The sequence below is a fragment of the Homo sapiens genome, chromosome 15 (genome assembly GCF_000001405.40).
Source record: "Homo sapiens chromosome 15, GRCh38.p14 Primary Assembly".
NCBI lineage: Eukaryota > Metazoa > Chordata > Mammalia > Primates > Hominidae > Homo > Homo sapiens.
The window spans coordinates 18,544,411-18,567,497 of NC_000015.10; the positions used below are offsets into that span (position 1 = coordinate 18,544,411).

The following is a 23,087-nucleotide window of genomic DNA, read 5'->3' on the forward strand; positions in this document are numbered from 1 at the left end:
TGCAATTGGAAATTTTGATAGTTCTGAGGATTTCGTTGGAAACGGGATTACAAATAGAAAGTAGACAGCAGCATTCTCAGAAACTGCTTTGTGATGTTTGCATTCAAGTCACCTAGTTGAACATTCCCTTTCATAGAGCAGGTTTGAATCACTGTTTCTGTAGTATCTGGAAGTGGGTATTTCGAGCGCTTTCAGGCCTAAGGTGAGAAAGGAAATGTCTTCAAATAAGAACTAGACAGAAGCATTCTCAGAAACTTATTTGTGATGTGTGTCCTCAACTAACAGAGATGAACCTTTGTTTTGATACAGCAGTTTGGAAACACTCTTTTTGTAGAATCTACAAGAGGATATTTTGAGAGCATTGAAAATTTCGTTGGAAGTGGGAAAACCTTCATATAAAATCTAGACAGCAGCATTCTCAGAAACTTCTTTGTGATGTTTGCATTCAACTCATAGAGTTGAACATTCCCATTCATACAGCAGGTTTGAGACACTCTTTGTATAGCATGTGGAAATGGATATTTGGAGCGCTTTGAGGCCTATGGTGAAGAAGGAAATATCTTCCCAAAAAAACTAGACGAAAGCATTCTCGGAATCTTGTTTGCCATGTGTGTACTCAACTAACAGAGTTGAACCTATCTTTTGACAGAGCAGTTTTGAAACACTCTTTTTGTGGAATCTGCAAGTGGATATTTGGATAGCTTCGAGGATTTCGTTGGAAACGGGAATATCCTCATTTAAAATCTAGACGGAAGCATTCTCAGAACCTGCTTTGTGATGTTTGCATTCAACTCACAGAGCTGAACATTCCCGTTCATAGAGCAGGTTTGAAACACTCTTTCTGTACTATCTGGAAGTGGACATTTCGAGCGCTTTCAGGCCTATGGTGAAAAAGGAAACATCTTCAAATAAAAACTAGACAGAAGCATTCTCAGAAACTTATTTGTGATGTGTGTCCTCAACTCACAGAGTTCAACCTTTGTTTTGATACAGCAGTTTGGAAACACTCTTTTTGTAGAATCTACAAATGGATATTTGGAGACCTTTGAAAATTTCGTTGGACACGGGAATATCTTCATATAAAATCTAGACAAAAGCATTCTCAGAATCTTCTTTGTGATGTTTGCATTCAACTCATAGAGTTGAACATTCCCTTTCATACAGCACGTTTGAAACACACTTTGTGGAGTATGTGGAAATGGACATTTCGAGCACTCTTAGGCCTAAGGTGAAAAGGGAAATATCTTCAAATAAAAACTAGTCAGCAGCATTCTCAGAAACCTCTTTGTGATGTGTGTCCTCAACTAACAGAGTTGAACCTTTCCTTTGACACAGCAGATTGGAAACACTCTTTTTGTAGAATCTACAAGTGGATACTTTGAGAGCATTGAAAATTTCCTTGGAAACGGGAAAACCTTCATATAAAATCTAGACAGAAGCATTCTCAGAAACTTCTTTGTAATGTTTGCATTCAAGTCATAGAGTTGAACATTCCCTTTCATACAGCAGGTTTGAAACACTCTTTTTGTAGTATGTGGAAGTGGACATTTGGAGCGCTTTGAGGCCTACGGTGAAAAAGGAAATATCTTCCCATAAAAACTAGACAGAAGCATTCTCAGAAACTTGTTTGTGACGTGTGTATTCAACTAACAGAGTTGAACCTTTCTTTTTACAGAGCAGCTTTGAAACCCTGTTTCTGTGGAATCTGCAATTGGAAATTTCGATAGTTCTGAGGATTTCGTTGGAAACGGGATTACAAATAGAAAGTAGACAGCAGCATTCTCAGAAACTGCTTTGTGATGTTTGCATTCAACTCACAGAGCTGAACATTCACTTTCATAGAGCAGGTATGAATCACTGTTTCTGTAGTATCTGGAAGTGGGTATTTCGAGCGCTTTCAGGCCTAAGGTGAGAAAGGAAATGTCTTCAAATAAGAACTAGACAGAAACATTCTCAGAAACTTATTTGTGATGTGTGTCCTGAACTAACAGAGATGAACCTTTGTTTTGATACAGCAGTTTGGAAACACTCTTTTTGTAGAATCTACAAGAGGATATTTTGAGAGCATTGAAAATTTCGTTGGAAGCGGGAAAACCTTCATATAAAATCTAGACAGCAGCATTCTCAGAAACTTCTTTGTGATGTTTGCATTCAACTCATAGAGTTGAACATTCCCATTCATACAGCAGGTTTGAGACACTCTTTGTATAGCATGTGGAAATGGATATTTGGAGCGCTTTGAGGCCTATGGTGAAGAAGGAAATATCTTCCCAAAAAAACTAGACGAAAGCATTCTCGGAATCTTGTTTGCCATGTGTGTACTCAACTAACAGAGTTGAACCTATCTTTTGACAGAGCAGTTTTGAAACACTCTTTTTGTGGAATCTGCAAGTGGATATTTGGATAGCTTCGAGGATTTCGTTGGAAACGGGAATATCCTCATTTAAAATCTAGACGGAAGCATTCTCAGAACCTGCTTTGTGATGTTTGCATTCAACTCACAGAGCTGAACATTCCCGTTCACAGAGCAGGTTTGAAACCCTCTTTCTGTACTATCTGGAAGTGGACATTTCGAGCGCTTTCAGGCCTATGGTGAAAAAGGAAACATCTTCAAATAAAAACTAGACAGAAGCATTCTCAGAAACTTATTTGTGATGTGTGTCCTCAACTCACAGAGTTCAACCTTTGTTTTGATACAGCAGTTTGGAAACACTCTTTTTGTAGAATCTACAAATGGATATTTGGAGACCTTTGAAAATTTCGTTGGACACGGGAATATCTTCATATAAAATCTAGACAAAAGCATTCTCAGAATCTTCTTTGTGATGTTTGCATTCAACTCATAGAGTTGAACATTCCCTCTCATACAGCACGTTTGAAACACACTTTGTGGAGTATGTGGAAATGGACATTTCGAGCACTCTTAGGCCTAAGGTGAAAAGGGAAATATCTTCAAATAAAAACTAGTCAGCAGCATTCTCAGAAACCTCTTTGTGATGTGTGTACTCAACTAACAGAGTTGAACCTTCCTTTTCACAGAGCAGTTTGGAAACACTCTTTTTGTGGCATTTGCAAGTGGATATTTGGATAGCTTTGAGGATTTCGTTGGAAACGGGAATATTTTCATATAAAATCTAGACAGAAGCATTCTCAGAATCTTCTTTGTGATGTATGCCCTCAATTCACAGAGTTGAACCTTTGTTTGGATACAGCATTTTGGAAACATTCCTTTTGTAGAATCTGCAAGTTGATATTTGGATAGCTTTGAGGATTTCGTTGGAAACGGGAATATCTACATATAAAATCTAGACAGAAGCATTCTCAGAAACCTCTTTGTAATGCTTGCATTCAACTCATAGGTTTCAACATTCCCTATCATAGAGCAGGTTTGAAACACTCTTTTTGTAGTATGTGGAAGTGGACATTTGGAGCGCTTTGAGGCCTACGGTGAAAAAGGAAATATCTTCCCATAAAAACTAGACAGAAGCATTCTCAGAAACTTGTTTGTGACGTGTGTATTCAACTAACAGAGTTGAACCTTTCTTTTTACAGAGCAGCTTTGAAACACGCTTTTTGTGGAATCTGCAATTGGAAATTTCGATAGTTCTGAGGATTTCGTTGGAAACGGGATTACAAATAGAAAGTAGACAGCAGCATTCTCAGAAACTGCTTTGTGATGTTTGCATTCAAGTCACCTAGTTGAACATTCCGTTTCATAGAGCAGGTTTGAATCACTGTTTCTGTCGTATCTGGAAGTGGATATTTCGAGCGTTTTCAGGCCTAAGGTGAGAAAGGAAATGTCTTCAAATAAGAACTAGACAGAAGGATTCTCAGAAACTTATTTGTGATGTGTGTCCTCAACTAACAGAGTTGAACCTTTCTTTTGACACAGCAGTTTGGAAACACTCTTTTTGTAGAATCTACAAGTGGATATTTTGAGAGCATTGAAAATTTCGTTGGAAACGGGAAAACCTTCATATAAAATCTAGACAGAAGCATTCTCAGAAACTTCTTTGTAATGTTTGCATTCAACTCATAGAGTTGAACATTCCCTTTCATACAGCAGGTTTGAAACACTCTTTTTGTAGTATGTGGACGTGGACATTTGGAGCGCTTTGAGGCCTACGGTGAAAAAGGAAATATCTTCCCATAAAAACTAGACAGAAGCATTCTCAGAAACTTGTTTGTGACGTGTGTATTCAACTAACAGAGTTGAACCTTTCTTTTTACAGAGCAGCTTTGAAACCCTGTTTCTGTGGAATCTGCAATTGGAAATTTCGATAGTTCTGAGGATTTCGTTGGAAACGGGATTACAAATAGAAAGTAGACAGCAGCATTCTCAGAAACTGCTTTGTGATGTTTGCATTCAAGTCACCTAGTTGAACATTCCCTTTCATAGAGCAGGTTTGAATCACTGTTTCTGTAGTATCTGGAAGTGGGTATTTCGAGCGCTTTCAGGCCTAAGGTGAGAAAGGAAATGTCTTCAAATAAGAACTAGACAGAAGCATTCTCAGAAACTTATTTGTGATGTGTGTCCTCAACTAACAGAGATGAACCTTTGTTTTGATACAGCAGTTTGGAAACACTCTTTTTGTAGAATCTACAAGAGGATATTTTGAGAGCATTGAAAATTTCGTTGGAAGCGGGAAAACCTTCATATAAAATCTAGACAGCAGCATTCTCAGAAACTTCTTTGTGATGTTTGCATTCAACTCATAGAGTTGAACATTCCCATTCATACAGCAGGTTTGAGACACTCTTTGTATAGCATGTGGAAATGGATATTTGGAGCGCTTTGAGGCCTATGGTGAAGAAGGAAATATCTTCCCAAAAAAACTAGACGAAAGCATTCTCGGAATCTTGTTTGCCATGTGTGTACTCAACTAACAGAGTTGAACCTATCTTTTGACAGAGCAGTTTTGAAACACTCTTTTTGTGGAATCTGCAAGTGGATATTTGGATAGCTTCGAGGATTTCGTTGGAAACGGGAATATCCTCATTTAAAATCTAGACGGAAGCATTCTCAGAACCTGCTTTGTGATGTTTGCATTCAACTCACAGAGCTGAACATTCCCGTTCATAGAGCAGGTTTGAAACACTCTTTCTGTACTATCTGGAAGTGGACATTTCGAGCGCTTTCAGGCCTATGGTGAAAAAGGAAACATCTTCAAATAAAAACTAGACAGAAGCATTCTCAGAAACTTATTTGTGATGTGTGTCCTCAACTCACAGAGTTCAACCTTTGTTTTGATACAGCAGTTTGGAAACAATCTTTATTTGGAGACCTTTGAAAATTTCGTTGGACACGGGAATATCTTCATATAAAATCTAGACAAAAGCATTCTCAGAGTCTTCTTTGTGATGTTTGCATTCAACTGATAGAGTTGAACATTCCCTTTCATACAGCACGTTTGAAACACACTTTGTGGAGTATGTGGAAATGGACATTTCGAGCACTCTTAGGCCTAAGGTGAAAAGGGAAATATCTTCAAATAAAAACTAGTCAGCAGCATTCTCAGAAACCTCTTTGTGATGTGTGTACTCAACTAACAGAGTTGAACCTTCCTTTTCACAGAGCAGTTTGGAAACACTCTTTTTGTGGCATTTGCAAGTGGATATTTGGATAGCTTTGAGGATTTCGTTGGAAACGGGAATATTTTCATATAAAATCTAGACAGAAGCATTCTCAGAATCTTCTTTGTGATGTATGCCCTCAATTCCCAGAGTTGAACCTTTGTTTGGATACAGCATTTTGGAAACATTCCTTTTGTAGAATCTGCAAGTTGATATTTGGATAGCTTTGAGGATTTCGTTGGAAACGGGAATATCTACATATAAAATCTAGACAGAAGCATTCTCAGAAACCTCTTTGTAATGCTTGCATTCAACTCATAGGTTTCAACATTCCCTATCATAGAGCAGGTTTGAAACACTCTTTTTGTAGTATGTGGAAGTGGACATTTGGAGCGCTTTGAGGCCTACGGTGAAAAAGGAAATATCTTCCCATAAAAACTAGACAGAAGCATTCTCAGAAACTTGTTTGTGACGTGTGTATTCAACTAACAGAGTTGAACCTTTCTTTTTACAGAGCAGCTTTGAAACACGCTTTTTGTGGAATCTGCAATTGGAAATTTCGATAGTTCTGAGGATTTCGTTGGAAACGGGATTACAAATAGAAAGTAGACAGCAGCATTCTCAGAAACTGCTTTGTGATGTTTGCATTCAAGTCACCTAGTTGAACATTCCCTTTCATAGAGCAGGTTTGAATCACTGTTTCTGTCGTATCTGGAAGTGGATATTTCGAGCGTTTTCAGGCCTAAGGTGAGAAAGGAAATGTCTTCAAATAAGAACTAGACAGAAGCATTCTCAGAAACTTATTTGTGATGTGTGTCCTCAACTAACAGAGATGAACCTTTGTTTTGATACAGCAGTTTGGAAACACTCTTTTTGTAGAATCTACAAGAGGATATTTTGAGAGCATTGAAAATTTCGTTGGAAGCGGGAAAACCTTCATATAAAATCTAGACAGAAGCATTCTCAGAAACTTCTTTGTAATGTTTGCATTCAACTCATAGAGTTGAACATTCCCTTTCATACAGCAGGTTTGAAACACTCTTTTTGTAGTATGTGGAAGTGGACATTTGGAGCGCTTTGAGGCCTACGGTGAAAAAGGAAATATCTTCCCATAAAAACTAGACAGAAGCATTCTCAGAAACTTGTTTGTGACGTGTGTATTCAACTAACAGAGTTGAACCTTTCTTTTTACAGAGCAGCTTTGAAACCCTGTTTCTGTGGAATCTGCAATTGGAAATTTCGATAGTTCTGAGGATTTCGTTGGAAACGGGATTACAAATAGAAAGTAGACAGCAGCATTCTCAGAAACTGCTTTGTGATGTTTGCATTCAAGTCACCTAGTTGAACATTCCCTTTCATAGAGCAGGTTTGAATCACTGTTTCTGTAGTATGTGGAAGTGGGTATTTCGAGCGCTTTCAGGCCTAAGGTGAGAAAGGAAATGTCTTCAAATAAGAACTAGACAGAAGCATTCTCAGAAACTTATTTGTGATGTGTGTCCTCAACTAACAGAGATGAACCTTTGTTTTGATACAGCAGTTTGGAAACACTCTTTTTGTAGAATCTACAAGAGGATATTTTGAGAGCATTGAAAATTTCGTTGGAAGCGGGAAAACCTTCATATAAAATCTAGACAGCAGCATTCTCAGAAACTTCTTTGTGATGTTTGCATTCAACTCATAGAGTTGAACATTCCCATTCATACAGCAGGTTTGAGACACTCTTTGTATAGCATGTGGAAATGGATATTTGGAGCGCTTTGAGGCCTATGGTGAAGAAGGAAATATCTTCCCAAAAAAACTAGACGAAAGCATTCTCGCAATCTTGTTTGCCATGTGTGTACTCAACTAACAGAGTTGAACCTATCTTTTGACAGAGCAGTTTTGAAACACTCTTTTTGTGGAATCTGCAAGTGGATATTTGGATAGCTTCGAGGATTTCGTTGGAAACGGGAATATCCTCATTTAAAATCTAGACGGAAGCATTCTCAGAACCTGCTTTGTGATGTTTGCATTCAACTCACAGAGCTGAACATTCCCGTTCATAGAGCAGGTTTGAAACACTCTTTCTGTACTATCTGGAAGTGGACATTTCGAGCGCTTTCAGGCCTATGGTGAAAAAGGAAACATCTTCAAATAAAAACTAGACAGAAGCATTCTCAGAAACTTATTTGTGATGTGTGTCCTCAACTCACAGAGTTCAACCTTTGTTTTGATACAGCAGTTTGGAAACACTCTTTTTGTAGAATCTACAAATGGATATTTGGAGACCTTTGAAAATTTCGTTGGACACGGGAATATCTTCATATAAAATCTAGACAAAAGCATTCTCAGAATCTTCTTTGTGATGTTTGCATTCAACTCATAGAGTTGAACATTCCCTTTCATACAGCACGTTTGAAACACACTTTGTGGAGTATGTGGAAATGGACATTTCGAGCACTCTTAGGCCTAAGGTGAAAAGGGAAATATCTTCAAATAAAAACTAGTCAGCAGCATTCTCAGAAACCTCTTTGTGATGTGTGTACTCAACTAACAGAGTTGAACCTTCCTTTTCACGGAGCAGTTTGGAAACACTCTTTTTGTGGCATTTGCAAGTGGATATTTGGATAGCTTTGAGGATTTCGTTGGAAACGGGAATATTTTCATATAAAATCTAGACAGAAGCATTCTCAGAATCTTCTTTGTGATGTATGCCCTCAATTCACAGAGTTGAACCTTTGTTTGGATACAGCATTTTGGAAACATTCCTTTTGTAGAATCTGCAAGTTGATATTTGGATAGCTTTGAGGATTTCGTTGGAAACGGGAATATCTACATATAAAATCTAGACAGAAGCATTCTCAGAAACCTCTTTGTAATGCTTGCATTCAACTCATAGGTTTCAACATTCCCTATCATAGAGCAGGTTTGAAACACTCTTTTTGTAGTATGTGGAAGTGGACATTTGGAGCGCTTTGAGGCCTACGGTGAAAAAGGAAATATCTTCCCATAAAAACTAGACAGAAGCATTCTCAGAAACTTGTTTGTGACGTGTGTATTCAACTAACAGAGTTGAACCTTTCTTTTTACAGAGCAGCTTTGAAACACGCTTTTTGTGGAATCTGCAATTGGAAATTTCGATAGTTCTGAGGATTTCGTTGGAAACGGGATTACAAATAGAAAGTAGACAGCAGCATTCTCAGAAACTGCTTTGTGATGTTTGCATTCAAGTCACCTAGTTGAACATTCCCTTTCATAGAGCAGGTTTGAATCACTGTTTCTGTCGTATCTGGAAGTGGATATTTCGAGCGTTTTCAGGCCTAAGGTGAGAAAGGAAATGTCTTCAAATAAGAACTAGACAGAAGCATTCTCAGAAACTTATTTGTGATGTGTGTCCTCAACTAACAGAGTTGAACCTTTCTTTTGACACAGCAGTTTGGAAACACTCTTTTTGTAGAATCTACAAGTGGATATTTTGAGAGCATTGAAAATTTCGTTGGAAACGGGAAAACCTTCATATAAAATCTAGACAGAAGCATTCTCAGAAACTTCTTTGTAATGTTTGCATTCAACTCATAGAGTTGAACATTCCCTTTCATACAGCAGGTTTGAAACACTCTTTTTGTAGTATGTGGAAGTGGACATTTGGAGCGCTTTGAGGCCTACGGTGAAAAAGGAAATATCTTCCCATAAAAACTAGACAGAAGCATTCTCAGAAACTTGTTTGTGACGTGTGTATTCAACTAACAGAGTTGAACCTTTCTTTTTACAGAGCAGCTTTGAAACCCTGTTTCTGTGGAATCTGCAATTGGAAATTTCGATAGTTCTGAGGATTTCGTTGGAAACGGGATTACAAATAGAAAGTAGACAGCAGCATTCTCAGAAACTGCTTTGTGATGTTTGCATTCAAGTCACATAGTTGAACATTCCCTTTCATAGAGCAGGTTTGAATCACTGTTTCTGTAGTATCTGGAAGTGGGTATTTCGAGCGCTTTCAGGCCTAAGGTGAGAAAGGAAATGTCTTCAAATAAGAACTAGACAGAAGCATTCTCAGAAACTTATTTGTGATGTGTGTCCTCAACTAACAGAGATGAACCTTTGTTTTGATACAGCAGTTTGGAAACACTCTTTTTGTAGAATCTACAAGAGGATATTTTGAGAGCATTGAAAATTTCGTTGGAAGCGGGAAAACCTTCATATAAAATCTAGACAGCAGCATTCTCAGAAACTTCTTTGTGATGTTTGCATTCAACTCATAGAGTTGAACATTCCCATTCATACAGCAGGTTTGAGACACTCTTTGTATAGCATGTGGAAATGGATATTTGGAGCGCTTTGAGGCCTATGGTGAAGAAGGAAATATCTTCCCAAAAAAACTAGACGAAAGCATTCTCGGAATCTTGTTTGCCATGTGTGTACTCAACTAACAGAGTTGAACCTATCTTTTGACAGAGCAGTTTTGAAACACTCTTTTTGTGGAATCTGCAAGTGGATATTTGGATAGCTTCGAGGATTTTGTTGGAAACGGGAATATCCTCATTTAAAATCTAGACGGAAGCATTCTCAGAACCTGCTTTGTGATGTTTGCATTCAACTCACAGAGCTGAACATTCCCGTTCATAGAGCAGGTTTGAAACACTCTTTCTGTACTATCTGGAAGTGGACATTTCGAGCGCTTTCAGGCCTATGGTGAAAAAGGAAACATCTTCAAATAAAAACTAGACAGAAGCATTCTCAGAAACTTATTTGTGATGTGTGTCCTCAACTCACAGAGTTCAACCTTTGTTTTGATACAGCAGTTTGGAAACACTCTTTTTGTAGAATCTACAAATGGATATTTGGAGACCTTTGAAAATTTCGTTGGACACGGGAATATCTTCATATAAAATCTAGACAAAAGCATTCTCAGAGTCTTCTTTGTGATGTTTGCATTCAACTCATAGAGTTGAACATTCCCTTTCATACAGCACGTTTGAAACACACTTTGTGGAGTATGTGGAAATGGACATTTCGAGCACTCTTAGGCCTAAGGTGAAAAGGGAAATATCTTCAAATAAAAACTAGTCAGCAGCGTTCTCAGAAACCTCTTTGTGATGTGTGTACTCAACTAACAGAGTTGAACCTTCCTTTTCACAGAGCAGTTTGGAAACACTCTTTTTGTGGCATTTGCAAGTGGATATTTGGATAGCTTTGAGGATTTCGTTGGAAACGGGAATATTTTCATATAAAATCTAGACAGAAGCATTCTCAGAATCTTCTTTGTGATGTATGCCCTCAATTCACAGAGTTGAACCTTTGTTTGGATACAGCATTTTGGAAACATTCCTTTTGTAGAATCTGCAAGTTGATATTTGGATAGCTTTGAGGATTTCGTTGGAAACGGGAATATCTACATATAAAATCTAGACAGAAGCATTCTCAGAAACCTCTTTGTAATGCTTGCATTCAACTCATAGGTTTCAACATTCCCTATCATAGAGCAGGTTTGAAACACTCTTTTTGTAGTATGTGGAAGTGGACATTTGGAGCGCTTTGAGGCCTACGGTGAAAAAGGAAATATCTTCCCATAAAAACTAGACAGAAGCATTCTCAGAAACTTGTTTGTGACGTGTGTATTCAACTAACAGAGTTGAACCTTTCTTTTTACAGAGCAGCTTTGAAACACGCTTTTTGTGGAATCTGCAATTGGAAATTTCGATAGTTCTGAGGATTTCGTTGGAAACGGGATTACAAATAGAAAGTAGACAGCAGCATTCTCAGAAACTGCTTTCTGATGTTTGCATTCAAGTCACCTAGTTGAACATTCCCTTTCATAGAGCAGGTTTGAATCACTGTTTCTGTCGTATCTGGAAGTGGATATTTCGAGCGTTTTCAGGCCTAAGGTGAGAAAGGAAATGTCTTCAAATAAGAACTAGACAGAAGCATTCTCAGAAACTTATTTGTGATGTGTGTCCTCAACTAACAGAGTTGAACCTTTCTTTTGACACAGCAGTTTGGAAACACTCTTTTTGTAGAATCTACAAGTGGATATTTTGAGAGCATTGAAAATTTCGTTGGAAACGGGAAAACCTTCATATAAAATCTAGAACAGAAGCATTCTCAGAAACTTCTTTGTAATGTTTGCATTCAACTCATAGAGTTGAACATTCCCTTTCATACAGCAGGTTTGAAACACTCTTTTTGTATTATGTGGAAGTGGACATTTGGAGCGCTTTGAGGCCTACGGTGAAAAAGGAAATATCTTCCCATAAAAACTAGACAGAAGCATTCTCAGAAACATGTTTGTGACGTGTGTATTCAACAAACAGAGTTGAACCTTTCTTTTTACAGAGCAGCTTTGAAACCCTGTTTTTGTGGAATCTGCAATTGGAAATTTCGATAGTTCTGAGGATTTCGTTGGAAACGGGATTACAAATAGAAAGTAGACAGCAGCATTCTCAGAAACTGCTTTGTGATGTTTGCATTCAACTCACATAGTTGAACATTCCCTTTCATAGATCAGGTTTGAATCACTGTTTCTGTAGTATCTGGAAGTGGGTATTACGAGCGCTTTCAGGCCTAAGGTGAGAAAGGAAATGTCTTCAAATAAGAACTAGACAGAAGCATTCTCAGAAACTTATTTCTGATGTGTGTCCTCAACTAACACAGTTGAACCTTTGTTTTGATACAGCAGTTTGGAAACACTCTTTTTGTAGAATCTACAAGAGGATATTTTGAGAGCATTGAAAATTTCGTTGGAAGCGGGAAAACCTTCATATAAAATCCAGACAGCAGCATTCTCAGAAACTTCTTTGTGATGTTTGCATTCAACTCATAGAGTTGAACGTTCCCTTTCATACAGCAGGTTTGAGACACTCTTTCTATAGTATGTGGAAATGGATATTTGGAGCGATTGAGGCCTATGGTGAAGAAGGAAATATCTTCCCAAAAAAACTAGACGAAAGCATTCTCGGAATCTTGTTTGCCATGTGTGTACTCAACTAACAGAGTTGAACCTATCTTTTGACAGAGCAGTTTTGAAACACTCTTTTTGTGGAATCTGCAAATTGATATTTGGATAGCTTCGAGGATTTCGTTGGAAACGGGAATATCCTCATATAAAATCTAGATGGAAGCATTCTCAGAACCTGCTTTGTGATGTTTGCATTCAACTCACAGAGCTGAACATTCCCGTTCATAGAGCAGGTTTGAAACACTCTTTCTGGCCTTCCTGAAAGTGGATATTTCGAGCGCTTTCAGGCCTATGGTGAAAAAGGAAATATCTTCAAATAAAAACTAGACAGAAACTTATTTGTGATGTGTGTCCTCAACTCACAGAGTTCAACCTTTGTTTTGATACAGCAGTTTGGAAACACTCTTTTTGTAGAATCTACAAATGGATATTTGGAGACCTTTGAAAATTTCGTTGGACACGGGAATATCTTCATATAAAATCTAGACAAAAGCATTCTCAGAATCTTCTTTGTGATGTTTGCATTCAACTCATAGAGTTGAACATTCCCTTTCATACAGCACGTTTGAAACACACTTTGTGGAGTATGTGGAAATGGACATTTCGAGCACTCTTAGGCCTAAGGTGAAAAGGGAAATATCTTCAAATAAAAACTAGTCAGCAGCATTCTCAGAAACCTCTTTGTGATGTGTGTACTCAACTAACAGAGTTGAACCTTCCTTTTCACAGAGCAGTTTGGAAACACTCTTTTTGTGGCATTTGCAAGTGGATATTTGGATAGCTTTGAGGATTTCGTTGGAAACGGGAATATTTTCATATAAAATCTAGACAGAAGCATTCTCAGAATCTTCTTTGTGATGTATGCCCTCAATTCACAGACTTGAACCTTTGTTTGGATACAGCATTTTGGAAACATTCCTTTTGCAGAATCTGCAAGTTGATATTTGGATAGCTTTGAGGATTTCGTTGGAAACGGGAATATCTACATATAAAATCTAGACAGAAGCATTCTCACAAACCTCTTTGTAATGCTTGCATTCAACTCATAGGTTTCAACATTCCCTATCATAGAGCAGGTTTGAAACACTCTTTTTGTAGTATGTGGAAGTGGACATTTGGAGCGCTTTGAGTTCTACGGTGAAAAAGGAAATATCTTCCCATAAAAACTAGACAGAAGCATTCTCAGAAACTTGTTTGTGACGTGTGTATTCAACTAACAGAGTTGAACCTTTCTTTTTGCAGAGCAGCTTTGAAACACGCTTTTTGTGGAATCTGCAATTGGAAATTTCGATAGTTCTGAGGATTTCGTTGGAAACGGGATTACAAATAGAAAGTAGACAGCAGCATTCTCAGAAACTTATTTGTGATGTGTGTCCTCAACTAACAGAGTTGAACCTTTCTTTTGACACAGCAGTTTGGAAACACTCTTTTTGTAGAATCTACAAGTGGATATTTTGAGAGCATTGAAAATTTCGTTGGAAACGGGAAAACCTTCATATAAAATCTAGACAGAAGCATTCTCAGAAACTTCTTTGTAATGTTTGCATTCAACTCATAGAGTTGAACATTCCCTTTCATACAGCAGGTTTGAAACACTCTTTTTGTAGTATGTGGAAGCGGACATTTGGAGCGCTTTGAGGCCTACGGTGAAAAAGGAAATATCTTCCCATAAAAACTAGACAGAAGCAATCTCAGAAACTTGTTTGTGACGTGTGTATTCAACTAACAGAGTTGAACCTATCTTTTGACAGAGCAGTTTTGAAACACTCTTTTTGTGGAATCTGCAAGTGGATATTTGGATAGCTTCGAGGATTTCTTTGGAAACGGGAATATCCTCATTTAAAATCTAGACGGAAGCATTCTCAGAACCTGCTTTGTGATGTTTGCATTCAACTCACAGAGCTGAACATTCCCGTTCATAGAGCAGGTTTGAAACACTCTTTCTGTACTATCTGGAAGTGGACATTTCGAGCGCTTTCAGGCCTATGGTGAAAAAGGAAACATCTTCAAATAAAAACTAGACAGAAGCATTCTCAGAAACTTATTTGTGATGTGTGTCCTCAACTCACAGAGTTCAACCTTTGTTTTGATACAGCAGTTTGGAAACACTCTTTTTGTAGAATCTACAAATGGATATTTGGAGACCTTTGAAAATTTCGTTGGACACGGGAATATCTTCATATAAAATCTAGACAAAAGCATTCTCAGAATCTTCTTTGTGATGTTTGCATTCAACTCATAGAGTTGAACATTCCCTTTCATACAGCACGTTTGAAACACACTTTGTGGAGTATGTGGAAATGGACATTTCGAGCACTCTTAGGCCTAAGGTGAAAAGGGAAATATCTTCAAATAAAAACTAGTCAGCAGCATTCTCAGAAACCTCTTTGTGATGTGTGTACTCAACTAACAGAGTTGAACCTTCCTTTTCACAGAGCAGTTTGGAAACACTCTTTTTGTGGCATTTGCAAGTGGATATTTGGATAGCTTTGAGGATTTCGTTGGAAACGGGAATATTTTCATATAAAATCTAGACAGAAGCATTCTCAGAATCTTCTTTGTGATGTATGCCCTCAATTCACAGAGTTGAACCTTTGTTTGGATACAGCATTTTGGAAACATTCCTTTTGCAGAATCTGCAAGTTGATATTTGGATAGCTTTGAGGATTTCGTTGGAAACGGGAATATCTACATATAAAATCTAGACAGAAGCATTCTCAGAAACCTCTTTGTAATGCTTGCATTCAACTCATAGGTTTCAACATTCCCTATCATAGAGCAGGTTTGAAACACTCTTTTTGTAGTATGTGGAAGTGGACATTTGGAGCGCTTTGAGGCCTACGGTGAAAAAGGAAATATCTTCCCATAAAAACTAGACAGAAGCATTCTCAGAAACTTGTTTGTGACGTGTGTATTCAACTAACAGAGTTGAACCTTTCTTTTTACAGAGCAGCTTTGAAACACGCTTTTTGTGGAATCTGCAATTGGAAATTTCGATAGTTCTGAGGATTTCGTTGGAAACGGGATTACAAATAGAAAGTAGACAGCAGCATTCTCAGAAACTGCTTTGTGATGTTTGCATTCAAGTCACCTAGTTGAACATTCCCTTTCATAGAGCAGGTTTGAATCACTGTTTCTGTCGTATCTGGAAGTGGATATTTCGAGCGTTTTCAGGCCTAAGGTGAGAAAGGAAATGTCTTCAAATAAGAACTAGACAGAAGCATTCTCAGAAACTTATTTGTGATGTGTGTCCTCAACTAACAGAGTTGAACCTTTCTTTTGACACAGCAGTTTGGAAACACTCTTTTTGTAGAATCTACAAGTGGATATTTTGAGAGCATTGAAAATTTCGTTGGAAACGGGAAAACCTTCATATAAAATCTAGACAGAAGCATTCTCAGAAACTTCTTTGTAATGTTTGCATTCGACTCATAGAGTTGAACATTCCCTTTCATACAGCAGGTTTGAAACACTCTTTTTGTAGTATGTGGAAGTGGACATTTGGAGCGCTTTGAGGCCTACGGTGAAAAAGGAAATATCTTCCCATAAAAACTAGACAGAAGCATTCTCAGAAACTTGTTTGTGACGTGTGTATTCAACTAACAGAGTTGAACCTTTCTTTTTACAGAGCAGCTTTGAAACCCTGTTTCTGTGGAATCTGCAATTGGAAATTTCGATAGTTCTGAGGATTTCGTTGCAAACGGGATTACAAATAGAAAGTAGACAGCAGCATTCTCAGAAACTGCTTTGTGATGTTTGCATTCAAGTCACATAGTTGAACATTCCCTTTCATAGAGCAGGTTTGAATCACTGTTTCTGTAGTATCTGGAAGTGGGTATTTCGAGCGCTTTCAGGCCTAAGGTGAGAAAGGAAATGTCTTCAAATAAGAACTAGACAGAAGCATTCTCAGAAACTTATTTGTGATGTGTGTCCTCAACTAACAGAGATGAACCTTTGTTTTGATACAGCAGTTTGGAAACACTCTTTTTGTAGAATCTACAAGAGGATATTTTGAGAGCATTGAAAATTTCGTTGGAAGCGGGAAATCCTTCATATAAAAATCTAGACAGCAGCATTCTCAGAAACTTCTTTGTGATGTTTGCATTCAACTCATAGAGTTGAACATTCCCATTCATACAGCAGGTTTGAGACACTCTTTTTATAGCATGTGGAAATGGATATTTGGAGCGCTTTGAGGCCTATGGTGAAGAAGGAAATATCTTCCCAAAAAAACTAGACGAAAGCATTCTCGCAAACTTGTTTGCCATGTGTGTACTCAACTAACAGAGTTGAACCTATCTTTTGACAGAGCAGTTTTGAAACACTCTTTTTGTGGAATCTGCAAGTGGATATTTGGATAGCTTCGAGGATTTCGTTGGAAACGGGAATATCCTCATTTAAAATCTAGACGGAAGCATTCTCAGAACCTGCTTTGTGATGTTTGCATTCAACTCACGGAGCTGAACATTCCTGTTCATAGAGCAGGTTTGAAACACTCTTTCTGTACTATCTGGAAGTGGACATTTCGAGCGCTTTCAGGCCTATGGTGAAAAAGGAAACATCTTCAAATAAAAACTAGACAGAAGCATTCTCAGAAACTTATTTGTGATGTGTGTCCTCAACTCACAGAGTTCAACCTTTGTTTTGATACAGCAGTTTGGAAACACTCTTTTTGTAGAATCTACAAATGGATATTTGGAGACCTTTGAAAATTTCGTTGGACACGGGAATATCTTCATATAAAATCTAGACAAAAGCATTCTCAGAATCTTCTTTGTGATGTTTGCATTCAACTCATAGAGTTGAACATTCCCTTTCATACAGCACGTTTGAAACACACTTTGTGGAGTATGTGGAAATGGACATTTCGAGCACTCTTAGGCCTAAGGTGAAAAGGGAAATATCTTCAAATAAAAACTAGTCAGCAGCATTCTCAGAAACCTCTTTGTGATGTGTGTACTCAACTAACAGAGTTGAACCTTCCTTTTCACAGAGCAGTTTGGAAACACTCTTTTTGTGGCATTTGCAAGTGGATATTTGGATAGCTTTGAGGATTTCGTTGGAAACGGGAATATTTTCATATAAAATCTAGACAGAAGCATTCTCAGAATCTTCTTTGTGATGTATGCCCTCAATTCACAGAGTTGAACCTTTGTTTGGATACAGCATTTTGGAAACATTCCTTTTGTAGAATCTGCAAGTTGATATTTGGATAGTTTGAGGATTTCGTTGGAAACGGGAATATCTACATATAAAATCTAGACAGAAGCATTCTCAGAAACCTCTTTGTAATGCTTGCATTCAACTCATAGGTTTCAACATTCCCTATCATAGAGCAGGTTTGAAACACTCTTTTTGTAGTATGTGGAAGTGGACATTTGGAGCGCTTTGAGGCCTACGGTGAAAAAGGAAATATCTTCCCATAAAAACTAGACAGAAGCATTCTCAGAAACTTGTTTGTGACGTGTGTATTCAACTAACAGAGTTGAACCTTTCTTTTTACAGAGCAGCTTTGAAACCCTGTTTCTGTGGAATCTGCAATTGGAAATTTCGATAGTTCTGAGGATTTCGTTGGAAACGGGATTACAAATAGAAAGTAGACAGCAGCATTCTCAGAAACTGCTTTCTGATGTTTGCATTCAAGTCACCTAGTTGAACATTCCCTTTCATAGAGCAGGTTTGAATCACTGTTTCTGTCGTATCTGGAAGTGGATATTTCGAGCGTTTTCAGGCCTAAGGTGAGAAAGGAAATGTCTTCAAATAAGAACTAGACAGAAGCATTCTCAGAAACTTATTTGTGATGTGTGTCCTCAACTAACAGAGTTGAACCTTTCTTTTGACACAGCAGTTTGGAAACACTCTTTTTGTAGAATCTACAAGTGGATATTTTGAGAGCATTGAAAATTTCGTTGGAAACGGGAAAACCTTCATATAAAATCTAGACAGAAGCATTCTCAGAAACTTCTTTGTAATGTTTGCATTCAACTCATAGAGTTGAACATTCCCTTTCATACAGCAGGTTTGAAACACTCTTTTTGTAGTATGTGGACGTGGACATTTGGAGCGCTTTGAGGCCTACGGTGAAAAAGGAAATATCTTCCCATAAAAACTAGACAGAAGCATTCTCAGAAACTTGTTTGTGACGTGTGTATTCAACTAACAGAGTTGAACCTTTCTTTTTACAGAGCAGCTTTGAAACCCTGTTTCTGTGGAATCTGCAATTGGAAATTTCGATAGTTCTGAGGATTTCGTTGCAAACGGGATTACAAATAGAAAGTAGACAGCAGCATTCTCAGAAACTGCTTTGTGATGTTTGCATTCAAGTCACCTAGTTGAACATTCCCTTTCATAGAGCAGGTTTGAATCACTGTTTCTGTAGTATCTGGAAGTGGGTATTTCGAGGGCTTTCAGGCCTAAGGTGAGAAAGGAAATGTCTTCAAATAAGAACTAGACAGAAGCATTCTCAGAAACTTATTTGTGATGTGTGTCCTCAACTAACAGAGATGAACCTTTGTTTTGATACAGCAGTTTGGAAACACTCTTTTTGTAGAATCTACAAGAGGATATTTTGAGAGCATTGAAAATTTCGTTGGAAGCGGGAAAACCTTCATATAAAATCTAGACAGCAGCATTCTCAGAAACTTCTTTGTGATGTTTGCATTCAACTCATAGAGTTGAACATTCCCATTCATACAGCAGGTTTGAGACACTCTTTGTATAGCATGTGGAAATGGATATTTGGAGCGCTTTGAGGCCTATGGTGAAGAAGGAAATATCTTCCCAAAAAAACTAGACGAAAGCATTCTCGCAATCTTGTTTGCCATGTGTGTACTCAACTAACAGAGTTGAACCTATCTTTTGACAGAGCAGTTTTGAAACACTCTTTTTGTGGAATCTGCAAGTGGATATTTGGATAGCTTCGAGGATTTCGTTGGAAACGGGAATATCCTCATTTAAAATCTAGACGGAAGCATTCTCAGAACCTGCTTTGTGATGTTTGCATTCAACTCACAGAGCTGAACATTCCCGTTCATAGAGCAGGTTTGAAACACTCTTTCTGTACTATCTGGAAGTGGACATTTCGAGCGCTTTCAGGCCTATGGTGAAAAAGGAAACATCTTCAAATAAAAACTAGACAGAAGCATTCTCAGAAACTTATTTGTGATGTGTGTCCTCAACTCACAGAGTTCAACCTTTGTTTTGATACAGCAGTTTGGAAACACTCTTTTTGTAGAATCTACAAATGGATATTTGGAGACCTTTGAAAATTTCGTTGGACACGGGAATATCTTCATATAAAATCTAGACAAAAGCATTCTCAGAGTCTTCTTTGTGATGTTTGCATTCAACTCATAGAGTTGAACATTCCCTTTCATACAGCACGTTTGAAACACACTTTGTGGAGTATGTGGAAATGGACATTTCGAGCACTCTTAGGCCTAAGGTGAAAAGGGAAATATCTTCAAATAAAAACTAGTCAGCAGCATTCTCAGAAACCTCTTTGTGATGTGTGTACTCAACTAACAGAGTTGAACCTTCCTTTTCACAGAGCAGTTTGGAAACACTCTTTTTGTGGCATTTGCAAGTGGATATTTGGATAGCTTTGAGGATTTCGTTGGAAACGGGAATATTTTCATATAAAATCTAGACAGAAGCATTCTCAGAATCTTCTTTGTGATGTATGCCCTCAATTCACAGAGTTGAACCTTTGTTTGGATACAGCATTTTGGAAACATTCCTTTTGTAGAATCTGCAAGTTGATATTTGGATAGCTTTGAGGATTTCGTTGGAAACGGGAATATCTACATATAAAATCTAGACAGAAGCATTCTCAGAAACCTCTTTGTAATGCTTGCATTCAACTCATAGGTTTCAACATTCCCTATCATAGAGCAGGTTTGAAACACTCTTTTTGTAGTATGTGGAAGTGGACATTTGGAGCGCTTTGAGGCCTACGGTGAAAAAGGAAATATCTTCCCATAAAAACTAGACAGAAGCATTCTCAGAAACTTGTTTGTGACGTGTGTATTCAACTAACAGAGTTGAACCTTTCTTTTTACAGAGCAGCTTTGAAACCCTGTTTCTGTGGAATCTGCAATTGGAAATTTCGATAGTTCTGAGGATTTCGTTGGAAACGGGATTACAAATAGAAAGTAGACAGCAGCATTCTCAGAAACTGCTTTGTGATGTTTGCATTCAAGTCACCTAGTTGAACATTCCCTTTCATAGAGCAGGTTTGAATCACTGTTTATGTAGTATCTGGAAGTGGGTATTTCGAGCGCTTTCAGGCCTAAGGTGAGAAAGGAAATGTCTTTCAAATAAGAACTAGACAGAAGCATTCTCAGAAACTTATTTGTGATGTGTGTCCTCAACTAACAGAGATGAACCTTTGTTTTGATACAGCAGTTTGGAAACACTCTTTTTGTAGAATCTACAAGAGGATATTTTGAGAGCATTGAAAATTTCGTTGGAAGCGGGAAAACCTTCATATAAAATCTAGACAGCAGCATTCTCAGAAACTTCTTTGTGATGTTTGCATTCAACTCATAGAGTTGAACATTCCCATTCATACAGCAGGTTTGAGACACTCTTTGTATAGCATGTGGAAATGGATATTTGGAGCGCTTTGAGGCCTATGGTGAAGAAGGAAATATCTTCCCAAAAAAACTAGACGAAAGCATTCTCGGAATCTTGTTTGCCATGTGTGTACTCAACTAACAGAGTTGAACCTATCTTTTGACAGAGCAGTTTTGAAACACTCTTTTTGTGGAATCTGCAAGTGGATATTTGGATAGCTTCGAGGATTTCGTTGGAAACGGGAATATCCTCATTTAAAATCTAGACGGAAGCATTCTCAGAACCTGCTTTGTGATGTTTGCATTCAACTCACAGAGCTGAACATTCCCGTTCATAGAGCAGGTTTGAAACACTCTTTCTGTACTATCTGGAAGTGGACATTTCGAGCGCTTTCAGGCCTATGGTGAAAAAGGAAACATCTTCAAATAAAAACTAGACAGAAGCATTCTCAGAAACTTATTTGTGATGTGTGTCCTCAACTCACAGAGTTCAACCTTTGTTTTGATACAGCAGTTTGGAAACACTCTTTTTGTAGAATCTACAAATGGATATTTGGAGACCTTTGAAAATTTCGTTGGACACGGGAATATCTTCATATAAAATCTAGACAAAAGCATTCTCAGAATCTTCTTTGTGATGTTTGCATTCAACTCATAGAGTTGAACATTCCCTTTCATACAGCACGTTTGAAACACACTTTGTGGAGTATGTGGAAATGGACATTTCGAGCACTCTTAGGCCTAAGGTGAAAAGGGAAATATCTTCAAATAAAAACTAGTCAGCAGCATTCTCAGAAACCTCTTTGTGATGTGTGTCCTCAACTAACAGAGTTGAACCTTTCCTTTGACACAGCAGATTGGAAACACTCTTTTTGTAGAATCTACAAGTGGATATTTTGAGAGCATTGAAAATTTCCTTGGAAACGGGAAAACCTTCATATAAAATCTAGACAGAAGCATTCTCAGAAACTTCTTTGTAATGTTTGCATTCAACTCATAGAGTTGAACATTCCCTTTCATACAGCAGGTTTGAAACACTCTTTTTGTAGTATGTGGAAGTGGACATTTGGAGCGCTTTGAGGCCTACGGTGAAAAAGGAAATATCTTCCCATAAAAACTAGACAGAAGCATTCTCAGAAACTTGTTTGTGACGTGTGTATTCAACTAACAGAGTTGAACCTTTCTTTTTACAGAGCAGCTTTGAAACCCTGTTTCTGTGGAATCTGCAATTGGAAATTTCGATAGTTCTGAGGATTTCGTTGGAAACGGGATTACAAATAGAAAGTAGACAGCAGCATTCTCAGAAACTGCTTTGTGATGTTTGCATTCAAGTCACATAGTTGAACATTCCCTTTCATAGAGCAGGTTTGAATCACTGTTTCTGTAGTATCTGGAAGTGGGTATTTCGAGCGCTTTCAGGCCTAAGGTGAGAAAGGAAATGTCTTCAAATAAGAACTAGACAGAAGCATTCTCAGAAACTTATTTGTGATGTGTGTCCTCAACTAACAGAGTTGAACCTTTCTTTTGACACAGCAGTTTGGAAACACTCTTTTTGTAGAATCTACAAGTGGATATTTTGAGAGCATTGAAAATTTCGTTGGAAGCGGGAAAACCTTCATATAAAATCTAGACAGAAGCATTCTCAGAAACTTCTTTGTGATGTTTGCATTCAACTCATAGAGTTGAACATTCCCATTCATACAGCAGGTTTGAGACACTCTTTGTATAGCATGTGGAAATGGATATTTGGAGCGCTTTGAGGCCTATGGTGAAGAAGGAAATATCTTCCCAAAAAAACTAGACGAAAGCATTCTCGGAATCTTGTTTGCCATGTGTGTACTCAACTAACAGAGTTGAACCTATCTTTTGACAGAGCAGTTTTGAAACACTCTTTTTGTGGAATCTGCAAGTGGATATTTGGATAGCTTCGAGGATTTCGTTGGAAACGGGAATATCCTCATTTAAAATCTAGACGGAAGCATTCTCAGAACCTGCTTTGTGATGTT

The 23,087-nt window shown here is 37.9% G+C and overlaps 1 annotated feature.

The window, feature by feature from the left end:
* Nucleotides 1–23,087: part of a centromere (Linear centromere model derived predominantly from reads generated in PMID: 17803354. This region does not represent an actual centromere sequence, as long-range ordering of repeats and unmapped WGS contigs is not provided by the model. For details of model production, see http://arxiv.org/abs/1307.0035.) that runs on past both edges of the window.